This window comes from Homo sapiens, chromosome 18 (assembly GCF_000001405.40).
Source record: "Homo sapiens chromosome 18, GRCh38.p14 Primary Assembly".
Lineage (NCBI taxonomy): Eukaryota > Metazoa > Chordata > Mammalia > Primates > Hominidae > Homo > Homo sapiens.
The window spans coordinates 2,411,252-2,422,150 of record NC_000018.10 but is presented as its reverse complement, the minus strand read 5'-3'; the positions used below and the strand labels follow the sequence as shown (position 1 = coordinate 2,422,150).

Genomic DNA, 10,899 nt, shown 5'->3' with positions numbered 1-10,899 from the left:
ATGAAGGGTAAAAATGAAGGCTGTAATGACTGGTGTGGGCTGTGATTACTGAATGTGTGCATCCCCTGAAGGCATTCAAAGTCCATTTAAAAACAAAACAAACACCATGCAGACCAAGCAAGACAGCTGCATGGGCTCAAATCCGTCTTCTGCACTGGTGGCCAGCTTAGAATTCTGGGCAAAAGTTTAAGAAGTAGGGGCTCAGGAGGCAAACTGTCTAGATTCAGTACCTCTTAAACCTGATAAACGTGGCAAGTTATTTAGCATCTGAAAGCCTCATTTTCCTCACCTCTAGAATGTAGATAATAATAGTACTTACCTTTTGGGATTATTGGGAGGACATTGAGAGAATGCATATACATAACAACACACTTAACAGAATAGCTGGCACCTAGCAAGCATTGAATAAATATTTGTTGTGTGTGTATACATACACACACATAAATAGAAATATATAGAAATATATATACAAATGGCCATTTCCTCCTTCAAATAATCATCTGGGGAAACTATACACTTTTATAATAATGTCTTTGACAACAAATACTTTATTTGTTCATCTTTGTATCTCCCCATGTTGAAGAGACTTCAGAGCCTGTGGCATAGTCTTCTGAATGTATTTGATGGCAGCAAATGTCTTCTTTCAGAAAGTGGGAGGGGATTTGGATTTTGAAAAACATTAGGAGTCCTTTGCAGTGAAGACTGACGAGTAAGATAAATAATAAAATGGAGTGATACAATTTACAAAAATGAGTTAATAAAAGGGAAGAAGAATTTAGGCATAAAAGGATGTGCAGTATGGAGATGGGAACTCATTCAGAGAGAATAGGCCATAATTATTTTGCTGCTTTTCTAGCTCCCTGATATTTTTATTTTAGCACATCTTCTCCACATTTAAATGTTGGAGAACCCTGGGGCTCAGTAATCGAGCCTCTTCTCTCTATCTATCCTCACTCTCCCCCGGTGATCTCATGCCTTCTCATGGCTTTAACTACCTTTTTTTGCTTCACTCCTAAATTTATACTTTCAGTTAGCATTTTTCCTCTGGACTCTAAACTTACATATTCGACCACCCAGTTGACATCTCTACACTGATGTCTAATGAGCTCCTCAAATTTATGTCCAGAATGGAGCTTTTGCTATTCGGTACCCCCTTCCCAAATCAGCTTTCCCCGTTATTCTTCCTGACTCAGCTAATGGCAACTCTGTCCTCCTTGTTGTTCAAGGCAAAACCTGTGGTGTCATGCTTAATACCTCTTTTTCTCTCATACCTTGCGTGTGGCTCATCAGCATATTCTGTCTACTCTACCAGGTATCACCCCAGTTCTACCATCCCGGTCCAAACCACCGTCGTCTCTCCCCTGGATTTTTACAGCAGTTCATCCATCCTGTGCCTATGCTTGTCCTCTTTCTCAGCACCTCGCCACAGTGATCCTGTTCAAATGAAAGTCTGGTCATGTTACTGCTCTAAGGCTTCCCATCCGACTCAGTTGCAGTCCTTACTGACCTATGAAGCGGCTCTGCAAACTTGTCTCCCGTCCAACCTTTCTGGCTTCATTGCCTCTCTCCTCATTGACTCACACCTGCCACACTGGCCTCCTTCCTGTTCCCTGAACCCCACCAGGAGCTGCTACCTCAGGACCTATGCTCTTGTTACTTCCTGTCTGGAATGCTTGTCCCCTCTATATTTGCATGGCTACTTTTCTCACTTCCTTCAGGTCTTTACTTACAGTCACCTTCCCTGGCTGCCCTGTTTAGGAATTTTATTTCCTTTCCCCATATTTTCCTTCTGTGATTAATTTATTTATTTTTCCTTAGCAATTGCTTCTCTCTCTCTCTCTCTGTCTCTCTCTCCCTCCCCTCTCTCAAAAGTATAAGCTCTTTGAAGGCAGAAAATTTGTGTGTTTTGTTAACTATTGTATCTCTGGTGTCTTGAATATGCCTGGCCCATAGTGAACACTCAATAAATACGTGTTGAGTAAAGGAATACATGCATTCATTGCCTTTTCTGTTATCTATTTAAAAATAATGCAGCAACTGTGGACGATACAGGCAATGATTATAGTGGAGAAGGCACAGGACCAGGAATCCAGGCACTTGGATTCTACTTCCAGCTGTGCTACTCAGTAGCTTTGTAGTTTTTGGCCCGTGACTTTACCTCCACAAGCCTTGATTTCCTCATGTACAAAATGAGGCGGTTAAATGAGATATATAGATGACTGCTAGAATCACTTTCATCTCTGGGGTGAAATGACTAATATAACAAGGAAGATTCTTATAATAACAAAGATCTGTGCTTTATTTCAGACCAATTTAGAACTCTTTGTGATAGCCAGAGAGGGTGCATTTGTGCATCTCTCTTTTTAAAGGTTAGCTCTAATAGTTTCTGTCTTTGAGGGAGGATCAAAGCCAGGCAGCGGGAAGGAGAAGAGGTAACTCCTGTGTGGGTCTTTAGCCTCTCATTTATCACACCGGCTTAACATATTCCCTCACCAAGCCGGCAACTTATGTTTACTATCGCAGTAATGCTGATGCTATAACATTGAGTTATGTGTTGTCTGAAGTATTTCTATGTGCATCGATTGGCATCACAACATCCCCATGCAGAAGCGGGTCAGATTTTATTAGCACCCACATTTATAGAAGCTAGAAGCAGATTAGTTGGCAATGTCACAGAAAAAGCTTGTAAGAAGTCAAGGCCAGATCCCATAAGAAGTGTTCTTTTTCAGTAATAGAGCTCCATCCTTAAGACACTAAAGTCAGAACTGGTAGAATTCTTGTGAAAGTCTCCAAGTCTGAAGAGGTGGTTGTTTAGAAACACTTACATAGATGTTTCTGCAACTCATAGAGTGTCAGAAATGTCACAAAATTTTGTTGGAGGTTTGAAGATTTTCAATGACAATGGAGTTGAGAGAACAGAGCTTCTTGACTTTGGGCTTTGTAGGATAAGGACCTTTTTCCTCCTCTCTATTTAGATCATGTGAGGATAGTTGTCCTGCCTGGGCATTTTACCAGAGCAGCAATAGAATTCTGGCCTCTGAATTTCTGGTCAAAAAAGGTGAATATGTGGAACAAAATCTGATTAATTATTAAGCAACTCAATCTGTTCTTCAACTGAGAGCAAAAGTGAGCAATGGCAGATATAACTATACCGATAGTTATTAACCAATGCAGAATTTTGAAGATAAGAATCCAAAATCAGCTTTGGATAACCGGGAAGCTTCCCACACAGCATAGAAAGCATGAATCAAATACTAAAACTAGATATCCAAGGTCAGTATTTAGAAACTTAATATTTAGAATTAAGCCTATCCTGGGTAGATTTGGCTTCTGGTAAGATGGGGCTTAGAGACTGAGCCGTATTGCACAGGGTTCCAAGGTTAAGTATGTAAAAACTACAGGGTTGGGCCATATCTCTTTTCCTGGAAAAGCTGGAGAATGGTTTCTAAAAGCTGAATTCCTTAGTGATACATTTAAAAGACCATAATTTTTATAACAAGATTAAGTATGTCACATTGAGGAGAAATTGGGAAAACAGAGTGTAGTAAGTATGGTGAATGCAGTATTGTCTATGAATTTTTACACCTGGAGAAGGATTACATAAGGTAGGGGGCATATGCATTGTAGGTCTCTTTTTATAACTAAAGCCTCAATACCATGGAGACTATTCCTGGCAAGGGAACAGATTAAACCTTCCTCTCAGCCTTAATACCCCAGAGAGAATGCAGCTGTCAGAGCAGAGATTTCTGCACATGACATTCACGTTAGAGCTATCTAGACCAGCAGGCAGATAAAAGCTATCCCAAGAGTTGAGGAGTAAAGCAGACTGCAAGCATTTTGCAGAGCGTATTAGAATGAAACACAGTTTCAGTATAAATCAACAGGTAAAGAGGAACTTTGAATAATTCCATATACCAAGGCTAATCACACTGAAATGTGGTAACATCAGTGCTAAGGCGGCATAGCACAGAGAGAGTCAGCAGATCTGGGGCTGCCAAGGAAGATGGTCCCAGATGAGCCCCAACTGAGGCTGTGCTATTAGTCACACTAGCTAATGTGCTTGCCGTTGTATTCAGAGGTCTTGAACGTCAATTTCAGAAACTCCTTGCTTATTACTTTCATTTGTGTGTATTTTTTTAATTTGGTCTATGAGTGAGGGTTGAATCATTCCCAGTGAGCTGTTCTGACCTACTCATGGTACTCAGCTAAAAGAACCCCCAGGTATTGTTATATTTAGATACCTGGACTAGGTGGACCCTGAATGTTATTAATACTTGTGAAGATTCTGATATTTAATGTATGCTGTATTATCAGGGCCAGTTTCTGTTTCAGTAGCAATTTATAACTCACCATTCCCTAACAGATGCTGGTTTGTGTCCTTCTTTGTGTACAGTATATCTGGAATTATATACTCTCAGAATTATAATATGCTATTAGATTTCATTGTAATATTTGCTGCACAACCGTGAACATTCTTATTTATTTATTTATTTATTTTTTTGAGACGGAGTCTCGCTCTGCCACCCAGACTGGAGTGCAGTGGCGTGATCACAGCTCAATGCAGGCTCCGCCTACCTGGGTGACGCCATTCTCCTGCCTCAGCCTCCCGAGTAGCTGGGACTGCAGGCGCCCGCCACCAGACCCGGCTAATTTTTTGTATTTTTAGTAGAGACGGGGTTTCACCATGTTAGCCAGGATGGTCTCGATCTCCTGACCTGGTGATCCACCTGCCTCAGATTGTAAAACGTTTAAATCATAAAATGTTTTATGTTTTTATTTTTTAAATCAGCTGACTTTCAGATTCAAATTCTTATAAATCTTAAAGATGGTTTTCCAGAGGCTATGAGATACAGATTAGTCTATCTGTCCAGCACACACACACACACACACACACACACACACACACACACACACACACGAAAGAAAATGAACTCTTTTGGAAAGGACACTGCGGTACTAATGTGTCAGAGATTGTCACAAATCTTTTCTTCTTACCATGATCTAACTAGAGGCCGGGCACAGTGGCTCATGCCTGTAATCCTAGCAGTTTGGGAGGCTGAGACGGGCAGATCGCCTGAGCTCAGGAGCTTGAGACCAGCCTGGCCAATGTGGTGAAACCCCATCTCTGCTAAAATACAAAAAATCAGCTGGGCATGGCGGTGGGTGCCTGTAATCCTAGCTACTCAGGAGGCTGAGACACGAGAATTGCTTGAACTCGGGAGGTGGAGGTTGCAGTGAGCCGAGATCATGCCAGTGCACTCCAGCCTGGGCAACAAAGCGAAATTGTTTAAAAAAAGAAATCTAACTAGAACTGTCACTGAGCTCATCTACCCAGGTAACTCATTGTCCAGTGGTAACACTAATTACATTACACAACACCTTCCATGACTCCTCATCACTGATGGGATAAAACACAAAGCCCATCATGGACCAAACAAGACTTCATCTTCTGTCTACCCTACCTCATATTTCAAGCATTAGGTGGGCACATGGCTTCTGCTTCTTTGCACACACCATGCTGTTTATTGAGTCCTTTGTTCAGTTTATGCTTTTCCTTCAGGAATATCTTTTGTCCCCATTTACTCACAACTATTGATGCAAAAGCTTGACTCAAGCATCATCTTTTCTTCCTACCTCCCTCAGGTCTTCTGCTCTCTTCTCCACTGGTTGGGCGAGGTGACTCTGAGTTCCCATTGGACTCAATGCAAATCACTAAAAAGTACATTTATTTGTCTGTCCCTTCCAGTAGGCCGCAAGTTCCTATATTAATTATTAATCTTTGGGTTTCCCATTTTCTAGCTCAGTGATTGATATGTAGCAGCTGAAATAAATAACTGTTTATTTAATTAAATAGTATTATTCAAAAAATAGCTAACAATCTTAAAGGCTCAGTAGAATTTATTATGAAAGAACACAAATTCAAATCCTATTTTCAAGTCTAATGAGAGTGATAACTTGGATGTGGCTTCATTTCCATTCATGTGGGGTTACTACAAAATTGGCAAAGAAGCTTTGCAAAAAAAAGCAAGACATAAGGAATCAGGTAAATGAATGGGTACAGGTCCTCAGCTTCCCCTCAGCTCTTGTGTTCAAACAGCAGTCAACCTGGAGAGTGGGGAGCCAATGGGCTCCTTGTATTTGATAGCAGGAGGCTGGGGGTGAGGCCACATAAGCGCACAAGGGTCCATGCACCACCACAAATGGCAATTCTTGCTTTGCCATGAACACTCACTTTGGGGTTATATTTGTCAATGTGTCATCAGGCCAATAAGTGGCCTGGCCAAGGCCCAACCATCAACGTATCTTTTCAGGTGGTAGCAGAATGTGGCTTCAGTTTGTCATCAAATTCCAGACCAAATAACATCAGAAAAGCAGTAATTACGTCTAAAGTCTTCTGTGGGTATGAGTCTCCTGCAAACCACATGTCTACTTTCTAAAGATTTTCAGTAACACTATCCATGAGATTTACCATGTATGTATAATTTACCTGGGTCATGTTCAAGTTACAATAATCTAGAATTAAAATTACCTCCTAGATTCCAGCAATTAAGAGAACATCATATGTGAAGATGAGATCCCAATAATAAAAGTTCAGATTGAGGTTACAAAGAATTTATTTCCATGCTTTGTTAATAAAAACCTTAGAAACACGAAGAAGGGTCAATAGATGCAATTTTCCCCATGCCACGAGAGAGAGAATGTTTTGCATCTTAGTAAATGGTCTTAGGCATTTTTCCCCCCAAAAGTCATGCGTGTGTGTTGGGAAAGAAAAGTGGAGACCTCTGGTTAAAATCTGTGCTTTCTGAATATATAAATCATTATTCCAGGGATTCTTAAAATACACAGGAGTGCATAGTCTAGATGATGCAGTGTTATCCATACTGTCGCTTGGAATTATATAGGCTTTTCCTGTTTTCAGGCACCTACTTCAGGTCTTGCCATTCACTATACCATTAGTGATTTGAGTTTGGACTTCTGGAAGGTTATCAAGGTTGAAAAAAGTTAGCTGGAGAATTAGTCTATAGGGTTTAATGTGTGTTTAAAAATCTATGTCATAGTGGGTTGGATTTTCAAATCTTTCCCCCTCTCATCCTACCAGTTTTATTCCCTGTTCTTCCCCAACCAGCACCCTCTGCTCTGCCCACTGCTTTGGATTGTGTCCCCATTGTCTTGAGACCTTGTTGGGTTCATTTTTTTCTGGGTTCCTTTGCGCATGCTCTTTTATTGTAACTGGGCTGTCCTTTGCCTTCCTGCTTTATACATTTAAGATCTGGGCATTCTTCAGGTTGCAGCTCACTCACTACTTCTATTAATCTCCTTCAACTTCTCAAACAGGCATTCTCAAATATTCAAACTATTATGACAGTTGTCTGTTTTGCTTATTTTTATTTTCTGTAGTTATATTATTAACTGTTTCAGGGAAATGTTTTGGCCTTAGCAAATCTCCATAGTAACTTCCATCCTTGATATTCTGATGCTAGATTGTCTCCTTAACTAGACAGTGAGCTCTATAAAGGATGAGATTCATTTCTTTTGGAACCACTTATAATGTGTAGAACATTGCAATGTTCTATTAGGCACATAGGTGCCTAATAAGGATAGTATGAGTTGCAGAAAAAAATAGAAGTTTAAAAAATCTAAAAAGACATGTATTTTTCATGGTGAAGACATAGGTGCTCAGGATGTATACAAACCATTTGTGCTGAATTAATAAAGCTGACTTTGCTATTTAAACTTTTTCTAATCTACTTACACTTTCACACACTTAGTAAGAGAGAATGACTTAGTAGAGTCACAAATTGAATTCTCATCAGCAGCCCATATGGGGCACCTGAATTTTAAAAGCTACAGCTTATGTTAAATCATAGAATCTTGAGACCAAAAATCCTAGATAGACTAGCTGTCATTCTATATTTGACTTTGCTTATTTTCTCTTCTGAGGGAATTTTTGACTTTGCTTATTTTCTCTTCTGAGGGAATTTACCTAGGAAAGAATAAAAACATCACAAAGGAACAAGGGGAAGACATGATAAAGAGGGCGCACCACCTGTCTTAGAAAATGAAACAGGTCAGTGTTAATTTTCACCATTGGAAAGTGACTGACATTTCTGACATGATTGATGGTAGCAGTCAATGGGGTTATCAGTTCCTCCTCTAAACCATAGCCTTGGTTGAGCCCACTGCCCCCAGGTAAGCTGAGATTTCTTCTTAGAGAAATATAGCCATGGCATTAGTACAGACTTAGGGCTTAAAATTGAACAACGTGGATCATTCCAAGAACCACCAGGCCACATGTTAGCTTTTATGAGGTGTATATAATATGCATATAATCTTTCAATGAAAAACTTAATTTCATGAATTTGCTTTTTTAGTCACAGATTCAGCTTTCCTCAGTTGCTCCTTGTCTGGGTTTTCCTAACATTTTTATCTTTCTTCATTGCCATCCTGTTTGTGTCGATTCATCTGGTGCCTGTGCAGTCTTGGGGCTCACCCTCCCTCCGAGCTCCTGAGCTATGAGATCTGCTTCAGCCCCTACCCTACAGGCCACCTCTGAACAGGGCCACCAGCTGCATGCCACATCTGCCTGCCCATGGACTGCCCAAGGGCTTGCACCTGGTGCAAGATGATGGTCAGGGGAATTCACTCTCCACAGCGTCAATGTTAACCAGTGGGAAATAGGAGGAGGCCAGATAGAAAAATATCCTCTTTTTCCATGGGCTTTTTTTTTCCCCTAGGCAAAGAGTCTCTGTGCAGAGTGTGTCTGGACGCATCTGAGTAGCTGAGCAAATGCCCTGAAAGTGATCGGCTGTGTCTCTTTGGAGTTCCTTATGAAGCAGTTGCTAGCGCAGTAGTGCATCACTTTGCATTGCTTCTCATCCCTCCAGCTTTACTTACAGTTTTCCTTCCCCTTGTTTCCCTGGGATTGTATGTCCCAAATAAATCTTCAGAGCTTCATCCTGCCTCAGGCGGTTTTTCCAGGAAAACTCTGCCAAGATGATATAATAATGACTTGTTTATATGCTTTTCGCTTCTGGGAGACTGTAAACCCCTTGAAAGCAGAAGCTATGTCATATATTTTTGTTTTACTTCCTCAGTGCCTGACACAAAATAGGCCAAAAGTCCATTACCTATGACAGACTTCTATACGAAAATGTAGAAAATCATAGAATGAAATTGTTGTTTGTAAAATGGATACTTTCAAATATGATTATTATATGTCTTTAATTGTATTGGCTAATATCTAAAGATCATCCCATATATAGTAAATATAATGTGGTATTTGAATCATGAAGAAAGTACAAAAAAGATAGTTTTACTAAGCAGAGTTAAAAGCCCCAGAAGTATTTTTACCATTTTGTTATCACTAACAGTAAAATAATTCTTACGAAGAACTAACCTTTTTGAAAAATAGAAAAAAGAAAAAAATCCCAGAAAATTCAAATTCTGTGCAGTATATTTAAACATCTTAGGAGCTGGCCACCTCTGAAAGCTAAAGGACAAATAAATATCAAGTAATAAGCATTAAAGAACTTTGACAGGAAATAAAGGCAGAAAGCCCATTACTTTCATAAAAAGAGAAGCCTCAATAAAGCCAGACTGGGAATAAAGCAAATCTCATCACCCTCTGTTGAATTTGCAATAAACCACAGATGCCAAACATTCATCTCATTTAACTCAGTCGGTGCTTAGCTCGAATAGAGTACTTTAAGCCTTTCCCAAATTGGATTAATGATGGTGAAAGAAATCCTGCAATTAAACATAGGAGGATGGTGGGACGATTGTAAGCCCAGGGTAATTTATGGTTGAGAATATATTTTGATCATGAATGCTTCATGTCTGGGCTGTAAGATCTACTGTGAGCCCTACATGATGCATTCAAGTTTGGGCATGGATTAAACAACGTAAATGTTTTAGGAATTTACACCTTGATCCAACACTGTCTACCCTTTTATCCTTTATTTCCAGTTTTGTTTCCCTTTTATCCTTTATTTCCAGTTTTGTTTCAAAGTATTTGTTTGTATGTGTTGAAGGAGGGTTGCAGACCAATAGTCAATAGTGACACTGCACTTAGCGAAAAAAATAGCCCTTCCAGAATGTACATGGAAAATGTTTTAAATTTTAGAGTTCTAAGTTTAAACCTTTTAGGAAACCAGATCTTTTAAATAAAAATGGAGGTAAAAGAGATCCAGATGGGAAACAAGAGAAAAGAAAAGATACCAATTTTTATCTAACCAGAGCTTCATATGTATTACCTCATTTGAGTTTGGTAAGAATCTATCTTCTGGAGGGGATATGATTACTCCTGGGCAATTTCCTGGAGGAAATTGAGGCTCATGCAGTTTCACAGAAGCTGTCCTATTGCCTATGTCATGGCCTTGGTTGTTGGCAAAATTTATGATTTTTGTGGTTTCTTATTAAATGTCCTATTCTCATCCATAAGATAGTGGTGACTTTGCCAGTCTTTTACTTTCTACCATTGGATTTTGGTTTTAGTGTAAACTGGTGTGGCTTGGAGTATTGGCAGAAAAGAGCAGGAAGTAGGACTTGGATAATGTATTAGTCAGGGTTCTCCAGAGAAACAGAACAAAATGAATCATCACAGATATTGTAATCTCTGCCATCTCTGGAGGTTGGTTAGTAGACCATCAATATCTTCAGTATGATTCTGAGTTTAGTGAAAAAGCCAGTTACAGCCAAAGATGAGGATGATGCTTGAAGTCTTGCTTTCGAATTCTTCCTTTTGTTATTGCTTTGCTTCTAGATTTGGTACCAATCTTCAGGTAATTTAAATTTTTGATACGGTGTGATGGAAAAGCCACAGAGATAGGTTGCCTGGAAAATCTATCCAATTATTCTGCTTTCTGAATGCTTATCTTGTAAATGTATGTTACTGCAATA

At 39.7% G+C, this 10,899-nt stretch overlaps 1 annotated feature.

Annotated features, from left to right (window-relative positions):
* Window positions 8,855-9,055: a silencer, noted in NCBI's record as "peak3045 fragment used in MPRA reporter construct". NCBI's record gives its function as "represses an SCP1 promoter by STARR-seq MPRAs in K562 erythroleukemia cells {active_cell/tissue: K562}" and the evidence as "EXISTENCE:reporter gene assay evidence [ECO:0000049][PMID:32103011]".